Below are 17,942 nucleotides of genomic sequence, written 5' to 3' on the forward strand. Positions count from 1 at the left end.
GATCGTTTGAGCCCAGGAGTTGGAGGCTCTAGTGTGCTCTGATTGCACTTGTGAATAGCCACTGCACTCCAACCTGGGCAACACATGGAGACTGTAAAATATCTCCCTAATATGTGTGTGTGTGTGTGTGTATGTGTACACACACGACATAAAAGTTACCATTGTAACCATCTTTAAGTGCCCAGTTATAAAGCATGAGGAGATTCACATTGTTCTGCTACCCACACCACCATTCATCTGCAGAACTTTCTCATCATTCCAAAGGGAAACTTTGCGCCCATTAAGCACTCACTTACTATTCCTTCCTCTCCCCAGCCCTTGGCAACCACCATTCCACTCTCTGTCTCTATGAATTTGACAACCCTAGGCACTTCGTGTAAGTGGAGTCATAGACTATTTGCGCTTTTGGGGACTGGTTTATTTCACGCTGCATAATGTCTTGATACATGCTGATAGCATGTATCAGAATTCCCTTCCTTTTTAGGATGAAATAAGATTCCACCCTATGGATGGACCACATTTTGTTTAACCATTCATCCATCGGTAGATACTCAGGTTGCTCCCACCCCTCGGCTATTGTGAATAATGCTGCTATGAACATGGGTGTATGAATATCTGTCCAAGTCCCTGCTTTCAACAATTTTGAGTACCCAGAAGTGGAATTTTCTATTTCTTTCTTTCTTTTTATTCATTTATTTATTTTTTTTGAGACAGCATCTTGCTCCATTGTCCAGGATAGAGTGCAGTGGCACGATCTCGGCTCATTGCAACCTCCACCTCCTGGGTTCAAGTGACTCTCATGCCTCAGCCTCCTGAGTAGCTGGGACTACAAGTGCTCACCTCTACGCCCAGCTAATTTTTGTATTTTTAGTAGAGATGGGGTTTCACCATGTTGGCCAGGCTGGTTTCGAACTCCTGACCTCAGGTGATCCACCCACCTCGGCTTCCCAAAGTGCTGGGATTACAGGCGTAAGCCACCATGCCTGGCCTCTATTTCATTTTAAACCTTGCCAATGATGACTCTTTAATTGACTTCACGGCTACCTGCAGTTCGGAAAGCACTGTGTTCTATGTGCTACATTCCCAGCCCCAAGCATAGGGCCTGGCACTGTGTAACTATTTTTGGTAGAGTGTTGGATTAAACAATAGATGCACAAGGCTGCACATTTCTGGGTGATTTTTAAAAATTGCCTTTCTATGAATAAAGGCTACAGAGCTTTCACTTTCCTTTCTCTTTTTCACACGTTGTACAAATGCTGCTATTAATTCCACTGAACACTGTGGTTATATTGTCCTACAGAGTACACATCATTTATTACAATGACAACATTTTTGGTGCTCAGGATATAAATTAACTCACAATGGCGTGGAATATCAGTCTGTTAAAATGTTTAGCAAAAACATCACACATTATTAATTTTCAGAGATTTTTCTTGAACTTTCCCCAAAGATCTTTTTTAATGCTGTGTAGATTATACCTAAGTGACTTAACATGCATATCATTGTAATTATTCTAAATTTAGCTTTTTTTTAGAGTAAGATTTTACCACTGTGGGAAAAACATAGCTGTTTAATACTCTAGGTTAAGAGAGCAATGATCTTCTTTATCATCTCAAAAGAAAGTGGACTGAGTTCTTAATTGTCTTATTTGTAACTTTAGTGGAAATAATATCTTCTAAGAAAATCTCCAGCTCAATTTGGCAGCTGAAGTTTTAAATATATGTCTCCTTTCCCATGTCTAAATTGTGGCCACCAAATATCATAACATTAAACATAAGGAATGCTAACATTCTTTTTTTCTTTTTAAGATCGGGTCTCACTCTGTTGCCCAGGCTGGAGTTGAGCATTGCCCCAGCTGCACTGTATGGAATGCAGTGGTGCAATCATAGCTCACTGCAGCCTCAACCTCCTGGGCCCAAGTCGTCCTCGCACCTCAGCCTCCCAAATAACTAGGACTACAGGCACACACCACCACACCCGGCTTTAAAGAAAACCATCTTCTAATTATTCATGATTATTACTTCCTTTTCAAGTTCAGAAATACCACACCTCAGCTTTTTATGCCAATCATCCAACATATCCTGAAGTATAAAACTGCAAAGTGGAATAGAGAGAGCATGAACACTGGAATAGACAGATGGGAAATGAGGAAGATGAAATGTGCATCTGGGTGTTAAGTCTCACCCTTTGAAAGCCGCTTCTCCATAGCACCTGCCTGCTGCCTTAGAGAGGCAGAGAACCCACCTGTGCCAGGCGGGCGCAAGAGGACACTTTACCTGGCCCTCTGCCAACTTTGGCCCCTCCCCCCATTTCCTTTCCCTGCCAAAGTTTTCTTTTTTTCTTTTCCTTTTTTTTTGTGACAGGGTCTTACTCTGTCATCTAGGCTGGAGTGCAGTGGTGTGATCTTGGCTCACTGCAACCTCTACCTCCTGGGCTCAGGTGATTCTCCCACCTCAGCTTCCCAAATAGCTAGGACTATAGGTGCACACCACCATGTCTGGCTAATTTTTTGTATTTTTTTTGGTAGAGACGGGGTTTCCCATGTTGCCCAGGCTGGTCTTGAACTCCTGAATTCAGGCAATCTGCCCACCTCGGCCTCCCAAAATGCTAGAATTACAGGCATAAGCCCCGCCCTCGGCCTCCCTGCCAAAGTGTTCTAACGTGCATGTACCTGCCCTCTCCCTTTGATATCCAGCAACCTATTGCATCACCAGGGTGCTCCAGGTCACCTGGGAGCCCTCTGCCACCAGACAGAAGAGCCTCACCCCAGCCTCATCCTCCTTGACTCTTCCTGCAGAGAACTCTACGCAAATGCCCACTGGAAGCTTTCTGTGCTCTTAGCTTAGAGAGACAATGTCCTCTGCTGATTCTCCTGCCTCTCTGACCATTCCTTCGGAATGTCCTTCTCTCTCCTTTGTCAAGGCTGTACCCCAGCCCCTGTCCGATTTTCTATTCTCTTCTTTAGAGACTTCATCTACAACCCCTTTGCTGACAACTCCCAAATCTCAATTCTTTCTCTCCAGTTGCTACAGGGCACTTCTAATTGGAGGTTGTGCTGTCCCCGCTTGACCTTCCTGTCTTTCCAGCTGTATGGTCCTATAGCAACTTCCCTCTGGCCGGCCCTTGGTGCCTCATTTCTGGAGCACTGCAGACATCCTGGGCTGTTCCAGCAACAGGCCGCGGCCCCTGCAGCCCAGTCGGCAGGCAGACCCAGCTCCCTAACACAGCTCTCAACAGTGGCCTGCCTGCGTGAACCCTCCAAGCGTTCCTCCATCTCCCCCCAAGTCTGGTTCAGGCTCCTCTGCAGCTCTTGGGGCCTCTCTTACCTGGCCCCTTGCCCTCAGTCCAGTCTTATTTCCCACTTGTCTGCACAATGTCTGCAGGCACCGTTCCTTCTTTCCTCACTAGCAGTGTCCTGCCCACTGTCCTCCATCCACCAAGTCACAGTCAAACCCGCAGCACCTGTGGCCCTTCAGCCTTCACTCACAATGTATCTTCCCAATTAACAATCCTGCTAGGACAGGAATAAGCTCTTAAACTTCTCCCTCTGCCCACAGCATATAGCACCAGTCCTTACTAACCCATGCACTAACCGTGCCGCACGCAGAGTGACAGAGCCCTGTCCCTCACCTGCCATCTACTGATGTCCAAGCTGGGCTTCTGGAAGGACAGGCCTCTGAGCCCAAGCGAGACCTACGAGTTTTCCTAATTTTAACTTACTCAGTTCTTATTTCACCTACTCTATTCAACCTGCACAAGTTAGTACCTACCATTTCAGATTTTGGCATGGAACTGAATTATGACTGATGCAACAGGAAGTGTAAACGTTCTGCAGTCTCTTTGGGACCAAGCTCATTCTTGGGTTAGATGATCCATTTTATATATTCTAATTTATTGCTTCCCACTCGTTATTTGGCGCATCTTTACTTACTTTACTCCATGGGTATAAAATGCGAACCATTAACAGCATTTATACGTGTATGGCCTGGAAAAGTTACAAACTCATAGATCTATGTGTTTCTCCGACTGCGCTATTTTCTCCTAACTCTTGGTGTCTTTCTGATGTAGAATAAATACTGATTTCCTTAGTCCTGTAGCAAGTTAACAAGCCTGTAACGTGACAGATCTGTATCCCAGGGGCTGATCATAGAGAAACCACAAAGCGATGTTTTAGCTGCGTCGAGTCCTCAACACGGGGGACTTCCAGCCTGGTACCAGGATAGCCTCTCTGGCCCAGTGTGAGCGAAGGTTCGAGCTGACTTGCCAGTCCCGTGCTAAGTCTCACTGAGGCAGGGCCTTGCTGCCGCGGAAAAACGTGTGGACAGAGGAACGCGCCGGTCGGATGTGGGCCACAGTGAGCCGCGGCGTGGAAACGGCCGAAATGTGCGGGCGCGTTGTCCATGTTTGGTCGTGGAGCTGCCCGCGGGCGCGGGAACAGCGCGTCGGGGGCGGGTGGGCTTGGGTGTCCGTGGCGGAGGTTACCCCGGGCCCCACGCGCCCGCTCTCTCCCGGCCTTGGTCTTTGTCCCCGCGCCCCCGCAAGGGCCGCCCGCCGCGCCCCGCAGCCCCTGAGCCCCCGTGCGCGGAGGCGGGGCCTGGCCAAGGGGACAGCGGGCGGCAGACGCGCCCCTGCGGCTCCCAGGCCGCCCGGGCCGCGCTCCCCGCGGGGAAAGAGGCCGCAGGCGCGGGGAGGCTCGGCCCCGCCCCGCCACGTCCCCCTCCCGGCCCGGGCCCCGCGGCCGCCGAGGCCGCCCCCTCGCGGGCGGAGCGGGCGCTGGGCTCGCGCGGCTGCGGCGGCGGCGGCGGGCCCGGGGTTGCCATGGTAACCGGCAGCAGCAGCCGCCACAGCAGGGCCGGCCCCAGCGCCAGCGCCGGTCGCGGTCGGGCTCAGCTCAGTGTGTGGTGAGCGGCGGCGGCGCGGCCGGGCCGGGGAGCGGGCGCGGCCCGGCGGCCTCAGCATGGAGGACGGCTTCTCCAGCTACAGCAGCCTGTACGACACGTCCTCGCTGCTCCAGTTCTGCAACGGTGAGGGGCGGCCGCGCGGGGCCGGGGCGGCGAGCGGCTGGTGGCGGGCGGCGGCGACGGCGACGGCGGGGACCAAGCCGAGGGGCCGAGGCCCGGCGGCCGCGGGCGAGGCCGCGCAAAGTTGTTGCGGAGGGGCGCGCGGTCCCCGTTCCCGCCGCCGGCGCATTGTGTTGGAGCCGCGGGGCCGCGCCTCGCTCCGGGCCGCCCCGGGCTCCCCGCCGCCACCCCGGCTCCCGGCACTGGCGCGCGGACCCCGCCGGCTCCAGCACCCGCGGAGCGCGCCCGGGCGGAGGCGCGTGGGGCACAGGGCGGCGGGGAGGCCCGGGCAGCCTCCGCGTTCCGGGGAACGTGTTGCTTTTTTGCTTCCCGACCCACATCTGTTTGGAAATGACTGGATGAAGAACTCGGGAAACAAATCCTTTAATAACAAAACCCTCCTGCGAGGATGCACGCAGTGTTTGGACCCCCAGAACCCATTCAGGTCTACTTTAATGAAATCATCACAATTTAATACAATCTAGAGCTTTTTAAATGGAAAGCCAAAGTGGACCTGGCCTCAGTGTTGCTTCTTATTTTGTTTATGGGATAATGGATTCTTTTTTCTTTTTTTGTTTTTGCAATTTTACAGGAAGGAAACATTCATATCCACCAATATGGCATCTTTTTAAAAATATGAAATCCTACATGCTTGAAAGATTTCAGTCTCATTGGCAGGGTTGAAAAAGATTTTCATAGCACACTGAATATTTTATCAGAACATGATGTGTGATAATTCACGCACAAAAGTTAACCACACTTTTTTTTTTTTTTACATGTTGGATTTATTGCTCCATCAAAGGGCCCCAAAAGTTTGTTAATGGGAAAAAAAAATGTGTATTTGATAGAATTTGCTTAAGTGCAGTCGGAATAATTTTGAATTCTAGACCCTTTGACAACTGGAGCAATTTATTTTGCTATTGTATTGTGATTTAGGGAAAGTTTTCTTGTTATTCGACACCTGTTTGTCACTGTAGCAGTAAAGAGTAATGAGTGTGTTGATTCATCCTCTGTAGTGGTATTTTTTATCTCTGGTGAAATTTATCATCTTGTTCATGGTAGAATGTATACTCTGATAGCTTTTGCAGCTTATACTTTACATCTGAACCATTTGTGGGCCTTCATGAATTTAGTAATTCCCTCTTCAGTGGAATTAAAGAAAGTTTCTGCTTTTTCTCTGAATTTAACGCCAGTTTCCAAGAGCAGAACACCTGTGTTTTTGAGCCTCAGAAGGTGTTGAGGGCAGGTAGAATGTATTTGGTATGCTGGTGGTCCCTGGAATACTTTATAGTATAGAGTCATGGGAACGGTTTTGCTCTCCAGTAGGTTAAATAGATTCCTCAATTAACATTTTGAATAGGTTCCTTAATTGACTTATAATCAATCATATTTGAATTATTGTTTTTGATCTAAAAAGTAGTTATATGCTTATGGTAGAATTCTCCCTATGCTTAGTTGGAAAGATATGTGGCTGAAATTTGTATTAAATGACTTTGAGGCATCAGGTCTTACAAATTTAATCTGTGGGCGTATTATTGACAGCTTGATTTGCGATATGAAAATGAGCCTAGATATTTTTATTGGAGCAGTTGTTTGGGGCCTGGTCATACTGTTCCTAAATAGCAGTTTAGTCATGAAGTTGACCTACACGTCTGTTCATGAATGTTTTCGTTTTCTGCATTTTCCTTTTAATTGCCAGCCTAGAGATATTGGCATGGTATTTTACTGGTGGTGATGTCCAGAAGAAAGTAAAAACCAACTCTTATATTTTGTAGAAGTATTGGTTTAAAGAAAAACCACCTTAACTAGAATCAAACAATAAGATCACTTTATAACTATTGAATTACTTTTCTCAAAAAGTTCTCAGCTCTGTATTTGTTATTTTTTTTTTAGGTTGTCTAATGAATAAAGTTTAAAGCAAGAGTGGCCTATGGGGCAGAAGTCAATGTTAACTGGTGATGTCTTAGGCAACAGATGTTTTGATGTGAAACATTTTAAGAGGCTTTCATTAAGTGAAGATATAAATGAATACAAGTCAGTTAATTACTATGATGATTCAATTAAAGCAGTGGATCACAGAAATGCCATTTCACTAGGAACTAAATTAAACATTTGGATATTTCATTAGCTACATTGGCAAACAATTTTTTCTTTTTAAATGAGAGACTTACATTACAATGGCAAGACAGCAGCATAATACATGAACTCATACATTTTCATATGTTCAGTATGCGTCATGCTGTTAATAGTGACAGAAACTAAAAAATCATGGTTACAGCTTTAGAAAATATAATTCACACATATTATTTGGATGACTGTCATAGTTAATTTCCTTCTGGTCAAATAAAGACAAGATCAAGATATGCGAAGTTGAGGCGGGAGGATTACTTGCAGCCAAGAGTTTGAGAGCAGCCTGGGCAACATAGCAAGACCCCCCTCTACAAAAAATTTTTAAAAGTTGGCTGGGCATGGTGGCTTGAACCTGTAATCCTAGCTACTCAGGAGGCTGAGATGGGAGGATTGATTGAGCCCAGAAGTTTGAAGCTGCAGTGAGCTATGACTGTGCCACTGTACTACAGCCTGGGTGACAAAGTGAGACCCTGTCTCAGAGAGAGAGAGAGAGAGAGAGAGAGAGAGAGAGAGAGAGAGAGAAGATAATGTGTAAATGAGAAGGGAGAAAGAGAAAAGTTTGTTCTAATGAATGAAATTTCTGTCTTCTCTTATACTTCTTTCTTGGTGTCTCTCCTCATAATTTGTAGTGGACATTAAATGCAAAGTTAGGCAGTATCTAGCCTCCTGAAAAGGCTCATCCTCATCTTTCAGGAACTGTCTTTCTCATTTAAGCAGAAAATGTGTGCATTGTTTTCTTCAGAGTATTTGAAATCTGTAAAGTGAGCTAGAAATCACAAGCTTTTTTTTTTTTTTTTCTTTGAGCCACACCTTGCTCTGTGACCCAGGTTGGAGTGCAGTGGCATGATCACAGCTCACTGCAGACTCAAACTCCTGGGGCTCAAGCAGTCCTACCTCAGTCTCTCAAGTAGCTGGGACTACAGGTGCGTGCTATCATGCCCAGCTCACAAACTTCTTTTAATGCTGGGAAAAAAAAAAAACCTGAAGTGTTTTAAAAAGTGAACAGTAGCTATCCTTTATAAGACAATTTATGATTTGGGAAATAACTCCATATTTTCTTCGAGGCCTCATTTTGAAGTAGGTGGTGTTACCATCCTTCCTTTGTGCCTGAGAAAACGGAGGCTCGAAGAGATTTGGCAACTTTATCAGGCCACAGAACTAGGAAGGGCTTGGATACCAGTCTAAATCTTTGTGTGTGTATGTGTGTGTGTGTGTGTGTGTGTGTGTGAGAGAGTAATAGCTTTATTGAAATATTTACATACCATAAAAATGTGTTTTTAAAGTGTACCATTAAGTGCGTGTAGTATATTCACAGAATTGTCCAGTTGTTACCACTCTCTGATTTTAGAACCTTTGCATTACTCCAGAAGAAACCCTAGTACCTACTAGCAGTCACTCCATGTTCCCCCATCGCCCTCACCCCTGGCAACCATTAATCTACTTTCTGTCTTTATAGATTCTGGGCATTTTATTTAAATGGAATTATAGAATGTTTGGTATTTTGTTCCTGGCTTCTTTCACTTAGCATATGTTTTAAGGTTCATCCATGTTGTAGCCTGTGTCATCATGCCATTCCTTTTTATGGCCAAATTATATTCCCTTGTGGAGAGATACCACACTGTTTAAATCTGTTACTTGTTGATGGGTTATTTGGGTTATTTCCACTTTTTGACTCTTATCAATAATGCTACTATGGGCACTCACATGCACATTTTTGTGTGGACCTATGTTTTCATTTCTCTTGGGCAGATATCTAGGAGCAGAATTGCTAGGTCATATGGTAACTCTGGGCTTAACATTTTTAGGAACCAGTCTTAACTTTTTGAAACCTAAATATTAAGCTTGTTTTATTATACATTTTTGATAAAAGAATAAGTAATTAAGGAAATGGATGAAAGAGGGAAAGAAGTGGGAGCAAGTAACAAAATGTTGCTCATGCATTTCCATGAGTCCTTTGGATCCTTTGATCAATCACAGCTCACCAAAACGAGTCAGTGCACAACTGCACGTGGTTGCCACAGGTTATAAGAATCTCAGTGCCTGAACGGACCTGGCAAGTAATCTCATCTCATGGTTTACTTTCTTAAGCCTTTGAGCTGTTTCTTCAAAGTAAAGGTTACCCAGGAACCCAATGGTAAAGCAGATAGATACAGAGCTGGCATAGCTGACAGGGAGTGGGGAGAGGATGGTGCTTTGGCCCTCCTCTCCTTCCCCCACCCCTCCAGCTTGAAATCTCTGCCCTGTGGGGGAAGCTGGAAAGGCTGTTCAAAGCTAGAAAGGCTGTTCAACCTGTGCATGAGCATTTTCAAGAGACTGGAAAGTAACTACCTCTCCAGGCAATCCATTTTTTCTCCAGACAGTTCAGACTGTCAGTTCCTACAAGCAGTGAAAAATCAGCCGAAGTTGTGTTCCTTGGGTCCGTAGAGAATAGGTTTAATATCTTATCCATATATTAGGTCATCACATGTTTGAAGACAATGATTATAGTTCTTTCTCACATCTTCTAGCTCTTAAGACGTAATTTTAGACCCTTAATCATCCTGGTTGCTTCATCTACACCTGTTTCCTTTTGTCTGTATTTCTTTCTTAACTTGATACAACTGAATGTGGTATTCCAGGCATGTTTTCTACACAAAGAAGATTAGAATTGGATATGTCACCTCCCTTATTCCAAAGTCTATACTTTTTTTTTTTTTTTTTCGAGACAGAGTCTCACTCTGTCGCCCAGGCTGGAGTGCAGTGGTGCAATCTTGCCTCACTAAAACCTCCGCCCCCTAGGTTCAAGCAGTTCTCCTGCCTCAGCCTCCAGAGTAGCTGGAATTACAGGCGTGTGCCACCAGCCTGGCTAATTTTTGTATTTTTAGTAGAAATGGGGTTTCACCATGTTGGCCAGGCTGGTCTCGAAGTCATGACCTCAGGTGATCTACCCTTCTCAGCCTCCCAAAGTGCTAGGATTATAGGCATGAGCCACTGTACCTGGCCTATACTTCTAATAATGCAGCCTAAGGTTATATAGACTCCATTTCTTGTCACATCACATTATTACCTTTTACTGATTTTCAAGTAAAATTCTTGTGTACTTTACATGTACTATGGCTAAATCTTTTCTTAAATTTAATTACCTTTTTTTTTTGAGGGTAAGTTTCCTCGAACAGGCAGAGCCCTATCAGATTACAACACCATTATAATCTGTGTTGTAATGCTATAAATAATCCCAGCACTTACTAAGATATTTCAGCATTATAGTAACATTGAAATTGACCATTGCCTTACAGGGTTGTGATTGTGGTTAATAGCCTTTTTTCTTCTTGCCTTGGAAGGTGTCATGAGAGAATTATCAGATGCCCTCTAAGGCCTGACTGGAGCGTATCTGCCATGTCCCAGATCTGGCCTGGCTTCTTCTCCTGCAGGTGCTACTTGTTAGTAACTACAGCGGGTCGAGTCCATGGGACCTGCCCAGTCAAATTTTGAAATCACTATAATAATCCTTTGAGCGACTGAAGTTTATTTTTTCTAGTTTTGCAATGGAATGTTGTTTTAATTTCTAAACATTTATATTTTGGAAATTAACAATAATTTATTTAATAATCTTAAACATCTTTTGACATCTCTAATACTGATGACATTCTCTTAACTATGATTACAGCAGGATTTTCAAGTTGACACCTCGATGGTTATAAACAAGTAGTTGGATTTAAAAGGAACACCTGTAAGGAAATTATCCAAACTCAACGCTCCGAAGTATTTTCAGGCCTCTTTTGCATTCTCATGCAGTGACAGAAGACTGACTGAGGCATTCTGTGATAGCAAAATCGGAGGAAAACGCTTTCATGGAAAAGTGCAAAGCAAAAGCACCCACGCTAAGCGAGAATTTCTAATTAGTATACTTGGTGCTCCAGCCAGGAAGGAACTTATAGCCAAACCACAACCATTTATCACATTATAAACAAACCCACGCATTTTGGTGGAAAAAAATCACAAAACTGTGCTTAAAAAGTAACCATTAATTGGTTATTGTCCATTTCTGGGATAGTGTAAACCTTTTCACATATTCTCTTAAAAAACATTTTAGTTGAGTGGAGGTTGGATAAGAGAGGAGAAATAACATCTTTGTTTCTAGTGTTACAGCTTGTTCATGCTATAAAACTAGTAGCGTGAAAACCTTCATCATGGATAACATTGAAAACGGAACATGAAAGCATTGCTCTCTCTAGTAAGACAGTCTCTCCAAGGACTTAAAATCAGTGGCATTTTGTACTCCTTACAAAAATTTCTTTCAGGAACAACTATTCATCCTTAAAATTTTATCAAGCTCATTAATAGAGGGTTTCTAGTATTAGCAAAATTTTTAAACACCTTCAGAAGCATTACTAATTACAAACAAAAAGTGTGCTGTAAACTCTAAAAGCTGTATAATTATTATTGATACCACCCGTCACCCCCAGCTTCATGTTTTTCTCACTAGACGTTTGGCACATAGATTTCATTTCTGCTGAAGGCTGCACATTCATTTTAATCTGGCCCAGGACTGGGGGTGTGCGAAGGTGTCAGCAGGAGCAAGTGCATACTCTCTTTGGTTTACTTTTTAAGAAATACCTCTTCAGAAGAGTTTTTCTTTCTTTAAAGGACTTGTTTTTTTTTTAAGTTTAATTAATTATTTATTTTTTATTTAGAGTCAGGGTCTCACTCTGTTGCCCAGGTTGGAGTGCAGTGGTGTGATCATGGCTCACTGACCTCGAACCCTTGGACTCTAGCAATCCTCACACCTCAGCCTCCCGAGTAGCTGGGACTATAGGCATGCGCCACCACACCTGGCTAAATTTTAAAAAAATTTTTTAGAGATGCAGTCTTTCTTTGTTGCTCAGGCTGGTCTTGAACTCTCCTCAAGAGATCCTCCTGCCTTGGCTTCTCAAAATGCTGAGATTAAGCATGAGCCCCTGCACCCAGCTAATTTTTAAGATTCAGTTTAGTTAGATACATTTCCATTTTTGTTTACTCTAAGGTTCTACCTTTACTGGCAAATACTGTTGGCGGGGAAAACCATTTTTTGCAGAGTACTCTCAGTTGTGTGTTAAAATGCAGTCATTTATTTATTCTGCCAGCTTTCTGGAAAATATTTAAACTCTCTATCTTTAATAAACCATCCCCACAGTGTAGGGGCAGGTTCGACCTATAGACTTGGGTGATGCCTGAGGGCACTTACTCCAAGCCCAGGGCCTGCCCGAGGTAGGGAGTCTTACAGGAGACCTTCCCACCTGCCGAGGCCCTGCTGTCAGAGGGAGGGGAAGCAGAGGTGACTGGCCCCCTGAGGCCAGCGGCCAGATCCATGCATTTATCATGGTGTGGTCCAGGACTGGTGGTACCCTTCACTCTGCAAAGCCCCTGTAAGGGAGACCCACCGTCCTGGACTGCAGATTCTTCCCACAAATAACCTTTGAAGGACAATGGGCAGCCCACAGTTAAAGATAACAAGGATAGAAATGGTTAGGCGAATATTCATGGAGAGACTTGAGTCCGTTTGGCAAATCGGGCTGATTTCCAGTGAATACCTACAGTGGGCGTAGGACAATTAAACATGTCAAAAATGTAGTCTCCCCTGTAAACATTAGATTCTCCTAGTAATTGGCCGGGCACGGTGGCTCATGCCTGTAATCCCAGCACTTTGGGAGGCCGAGGTGGGCGGATCATGAGGTCAGGAGATCGAGACCATCCTGGCTAACACGGTGAAACCCCGTCTCTACTAAAAATACCAAAAATTAGCCGGGCGTGGTGGCGGGCGCCTGTAGTCCCAGCTACTCGGGAGGCTGAGGCAGGAGAATGGCGTGAACCCGGGAGGCAGAGCTTGCAGTGAGCCAAGATCGTGCCACTGCACTCCAGCCTGGGCCACAGAGCGAGACTCCGTCTCAAAAAAAAAAAAAAGAAATTCTCCTAGTAATCATTTTAGACTCTTCTACCCACTGCCCCATATCTCAGTTGGCTCAGTGGATTCTGCACCCCAAACGTCTCATCATCCATCCCTTCCTCCCTGGCTCGGGCCCTCATCAGTTCTCATCTAGGCTAGGGTTGGGTTTGGTTTTGGCAGCAGACCTAAAGCAGTCTTCCTAACTCTAGTCTTCCATCCGTTCCTTTAAACAAGCACTCAAGTACTCACAGCGTCCATTATTACACTGTTTTAGGGGTTCCAGCGAAATGCGAGGATGACATGGTCCTTAGCCTTAGGAAGCCTAATTTGTTTCTCAGGAGCTAAACATCCAGTGTTATTTTCACACTCACTTCATGACAACAGTGATAGGTTGTTCTAAGAAGTGTAAGGAACAATGGTAGGGTATTGCAGCACTGGGGGGCATGTATCAGGGCGGGCTTCCTAAGAGAGGCATCCGTGAGAGCGTCTTTCTAGTCTGCTCACTGCAGGCGGGTAGGTGGGAGTGGGGAGAGCCATTCGGGCCAGGGAAGCGTCTAAGAAGCCCTGGGTGGGAAAGAACCTTTAGAGAACTGAAAGAAGGTTGCCTGTGGTGAAAGGGAAAGGAGTAGCGTGGCTTGCAGTAGGACTGGGAGCGTGTTTTGGGGACATGGTAAGGAGTTTGGTCTTCTTCCTAGGAGCAGTGGGAATACAGGGGAGAATTTTGAGGCAAGGGAGCGACTTGTTCACATTTTTTGTTTTAAAAGATCACTCTGCTTCCAGGGGGAGGGCAGGTGGGAAGGGCAGTCCAGGGTGGAGGTAGGAGGGTAGAGGTGGGGGGCCATGGCAGTAACCCAGGGAGAGGCAATGGTGATTCACCCTGGGCGGGGTGTTGGGAGCAAGACGCAGGAGATACTTAGTGGGTAACATCCTGTATTTACATTAAGAGTGGGGAGAGGGCAGAATCAAGGCTGACGCCCAGGTCTCTGATGCCTGCAACTGGAGATGGCAGGACAGGCCAGGGGGCCTGTGCAGAGATGGCAGTCCAGGCCACGGGGGAGGTGGTTTGGGCTTGTGGGGTAGGAGGACATATGGGATACAAGCTGAGGTGCTGAGCAGGCTGTCGGTGAAGGTCTGGAGCCCGGGAGATGGCTGGGCTGGACATAACATTTGCGAGCCATCAGCATCCAGATAGTAATGGGATCCATGGGCACCGATGAGCTCACCCAGGGGAAATTAGACATTTCGAATGTGCCTCCTGCAAGACAGATCCAGGCAAAATGGCCTCCTGTTTAAAAGCTGACAGCAGCCCTCCCTCCCACTTTAGCACCCAGGGCCCCACTTATCTTCATCCCTGAGTGCCCCCAGGTGCCCTTCCTTCGTCGGTGGCTATGTGGTATTTAGTATAAACCTCTGTCATCATGATTATCCCAGAGGCCTGTCACGGAGGTTTATTTTCAGTCTCCCATTAGATATAAGCTCCTCTGGGCAGACTTTCCTGGGATCGTCTCTGTGTCTTTTGCACCTCAGCAGTGCCTGGCACGTGGTGAGTTTCCTGGTGAAAGGTGGTTGAATAGATTCAGGGTCCATCTTATTTATCTTATAGCACCTCCTCAAACACACGCACCAGGCGCCACCAGGCACCATGCCACACATGTGACAGGTGCATGCCAAATAAAGCACGCCCACCGCTTCCCTGTGTGCTTGAAACAACGTGTATCAATGTGTATAGTATATACCACATGTGCATATAACTGTATGTATACCTGCGTATCTACGTGCATTATACACACATGCACACATGTGACATTGAACTCTACCCTTCAGCAAAGAACTGGTAGACTTAGACATTCAGAAGAGAAGGCTTTCCAGACGAGGGACCTTATTGGTAGAACCCAGAAACATATGAATGCAGGCCCAGGAGACTGGCTTAGTACAGAGACAAAACTTGCCACCACAGTTGCTGCTGAATGCCTCTCGCTAGACACCGCTTCACTGGAATCAATAAGTAGAGACGTTTGCAAAAAGCATTTGGTGGTTTCACTGGCTTAAAACAAATTATTTTCAGCCAAAGTAATTGACACAATGAAGTGGTTTTTGGCAACTCCAGCATTTTTAACAGTAAAAAGGATTTGACTTAAATCGCCCCCCAAAAAGTTATGTAACATGAATTTTACCATTCTTAGAAAAATATGTTCCAGTTGAGAAACGATTGAATGGAATTAGGACTCTCTTATACTGCAGCATTACTGTGCACTTTAGCCCCAGCTGTCTTCATCACAAACACTTGAAAATCCTTAGGAATAGAACTTAGTGATGATGCTTTATCTACTATTGAGTCGCTTATGCTTACCAATCCTGTATGCAAAATGTGGCAGCCGCTCCCAGGGGACTGTATGGAGCTATAATAAAGATAATGATCTGTTAGCTCGGCTTCACCGAATTAGTCCTTTAGAAAGTAATTAAGCAGGATTGCCCACACTCCACTGCTCCCAAAGACTGAAATCTGGCTTGGTGTGTCATTTCTTTGCCTTCCTTGAAAATGGCCTTTTATTGAGTTGATATAATTTAATTATATAAAAATACGTGTTCAGATTGCATCTTGTACTTAATTATATCTTACGCCACGGAGTTATTTCCCAGCCAGAGCTTGTGCTGTTAGAAGGTGGGGTCCATGTCTCATTCATGCGTGTATGTGTGTGTTTAGGTGCAGGAGAGGAGGGGAGAGAAATGCTGGCTTTAAAGAGTGCTCACCAAGCATCAGGTGTTGGGCTGAGCATTTTTAATGTATTCTTTTGTTTAATTCTCACAACACCCTTTTGAAGTGGGTCCTATTATTGTCTCCATTTTGACCGACAAGGAAACAGAGGCCCAAAACTTTGAGTAACTTGTTCAAGATTGCCTGGCCAGTGTGTTTCAGAGCTGGGGTTTGAAGCCAAGCATTCTGGCTCCACTGTCCATGGTATACTAAGTACTCAGTTATGCTCGATGAGTGAATGATGGGAAAAAAGATGGGACAGCTATAGACCTGAAAGGGACTTAGGAGATTGTTCTGGTCTGCCCTTGCCTGTAGGAGAGGCCACACATGGTTTACAAGTGCAGAGCAAAGGCCTTTCCCTTGGATTATTGGAGGAGTCTCTGAACAGATTTCCTTGTCTTCACCTGTTTTTCTTCAAATCCTACTTCTTCAGCACTTTTAAAAATGGAAACCTCATTTATCTCTGAATTGCCCAGCATCCCCCGGAAGTTCCCCATGACTCTTGGGGTTCAGGGCCGATTCTGGGAACCACTTGCCACCTGCTTCCCTGACCCTTTCCTCCCAGGGCCCTGGATGCAGCCACCCTGGACTTCTGGTAGCTTCTGAAGGTGCCAGGCTGTTGTGTACAGGATTCCACATGCTGAGCGCCCTTGCCTTCCCTGCAGCGTCCCTTCCTACCCCTTCTTCACGGAGCCGCTCCCTTGTCCTTCAGAACCCTGCTCCCATGCCACGGGAAACCTCAGGGCAGGTAGATGTAGGCGCAGCTCACTGGGTGCCCCTTAGGCCCCAGGCCACGTGTCTCAGGGCATAGCCAGCTCCACTTAACCGACCAGACCAGGAGGACCTGTAGGATGTCATTCTGGCTCATGTGACTCAGTGGGCTCTCAGTACTAGTTTGTTGAACAAAAGAGTTCAGAGTGGAAATATTAAATGGTACTTTGAGTCGTGCCTACTTAGGACATTTTAACTTTTCTCTGTTAGCAGCCCGCACCAACTGCTGTGACTTAGTGTTTGTGAAACTCTTCCGTCTTTCTGTTAACAGTTGTAGTTCTTTCAGTGTTTCATCAGCAGCCATATTCTATTTACTTATTCTCTTTCTTTTCTTCTTCTTCTTTTTTAAATCTTTTGAGGTAGGGCTCAGTCTGTTGCCCAGGCTGGAGCGCAGTGATATGAGCTGGGCTCACTGCAGCCTCGACCTCCCCAGCCCAAGCAGTCCTCTAGCATCAGCCTCCTAAGTAGCTGGGACTATAGGCACATGCCACCGTGCCCAGCTAATTTTTTTATTTTTTTGTGGAAATGGGGTCTCGATTTGTTCCTCAAGCTGGTTTTGAACTCCTGGGCTGAAGTGATCCTCCTGCCTCAACTTCCCAAAGTGTTGGGATTACAGCCATGAGCCACTACACCCAGCCCTAGAACCCTTTTTTTTTCAAAAAAAAATTTAATCATGGTAAAATACATATAAAATTTAGCATCTTACACATTTTTAAGTGTACAGTTCATGGCGCTAAGTACATTCACATTGTTGTGCAGCCATCACTGCCATCCATCTGCAGAACTTTTCATCTTCCCAAACTGAAATCTGTCCCCATTACATAATTCCCCACTCTCCCCCGCCAGCTCCTGGTCCAGCATTCGACTTTCTTGTCTCTGTGCATTTGACTACTTTAGATATCTCATGTAAGTGGAATCACACAATATTTGTCTTTTTAGGAGTGGCTTACTTCAGTTTCAGAATGTTTTTTTGAAAACAATAGTTTCATGAAGTTACAGAATCCTAAACTGAATGTTTAACTAAAAGGTTCAAAGCCCTGGGCAAGAAGTGGGATAATTACCTGCACATTTGAGGCTGTCAGAACGCCTGAAGATGTGTCACCGGATCACACCCACGTGCATTACAAGCAGCCCTGCTCAGCCTCCTGTGTAAAGTTTTGGTATCCGATCTCCAGAATCTTTTTTTTTTTTTTTTTTTTTTTTGAGACATTCTTGTTGCCCAGGCTGGAGTGCAGTGGCGTTAATCTCGGCTCACCGCAACCTCTGCCTCCCGGGTTCAAGCGATTCTCCTACTTCAGCCTCCCGAGTAGCTGGGATTACAGGC

At 45.5% G+C, this 17,942-nt stretch overlaps 1 protein-coding gene across 7 annotated transcripts in view, besides 4 other annotated features; it reads left to right on the top strand.

Annotated features, from left to right (window-relative positions):
* Nucleotides 1-17,942, top strand: part of EML1 (EMAP like 1) — a 204,339-nt gene that overhangs the window by 50,798 nt on the left and 135,599 nt on the right. For 4 of the 7 annotated variants that reach the window (NM_001008707.2, XM_005267397.2, NM_004434.3 and 1 more), the window contains exon 1: nt 4,894-5,024. The exons of the other annotated variants lie outside the window; for them this stretch is intronic. In NM_001008707.2, the coding sequence (NP_001008707.1) occupies nt 4,958-5,024 (67 nt within the window). In that variant the 5' untranslated portion in view covers nt 4,894-4,957. Of the gene's footprint in view, nt 1-4,893; nt 5,025-17,942 lie in introns of those variants that run through there. 7 annotated transcript variants of the gene reach the window in all.
* Nucleotides 1,112-1,251: an enhancer, noted in NCBI's record as "active region_9010". NCBI's record gives its function as "activates an Ori minimal core promoter by ATAC-STARR-seq in GM12878 lymphoblastoid cells {active_cell/tissue: GM12878}" and the evidence as "EXISTENCE:reporter gene assay evidence [ECO:0000049][PMID:35858748]".
* Nucleotides 4,588-5,067: a silencer, noted in NCBI's record as "silent region_6070". NCBI's record gives its function as "represses an Ori minimal core promoter by ATAC-STARR-seq in GM12878 lymphoblastoid cells {active_cell/tissue: GM12878}" and the evidence as "EXISTENCE:reporter gene assay evidence [ECO:0000049][PMID:35858748]".
* Nucleotides 4,588-5,646: a biological region, named in NCBI's record as "H3K27ac hESC enhancer GRCh37_chr14:100259671-100260502".
* Nucleotides 4,815-5,646: an enhancer, noted in NCBI's record as "H3K27ac hESC enhancer chr14:100259671-100260502 (GRCh37/hg19 assembly coordinates)". NCBI's record gives its function as "activates a minimal SCP1, AML or CMV promoter by ChIP-STARR-seq in naive H9 embryonic stem cells {active_cell/tissue: H9 hESC(naive)}" and the evidence as "EXISTENCE:reporter gene assay evidence [ECO:0000049][PMID:30033119]".

This window comes from Homo sapiens, chromosome 14 (assembly GCF_000001405.40).
Source record: "Homo sapiens chromosome 14, GRCh38.p14 Primary Assembly".
NCBI classification, from domain to species: domain Eukaryota; kingdom Metazoa; phylum Chordata; class Mammalia; order Primates; family Hominidae; genus Homo; species Homo sapiens.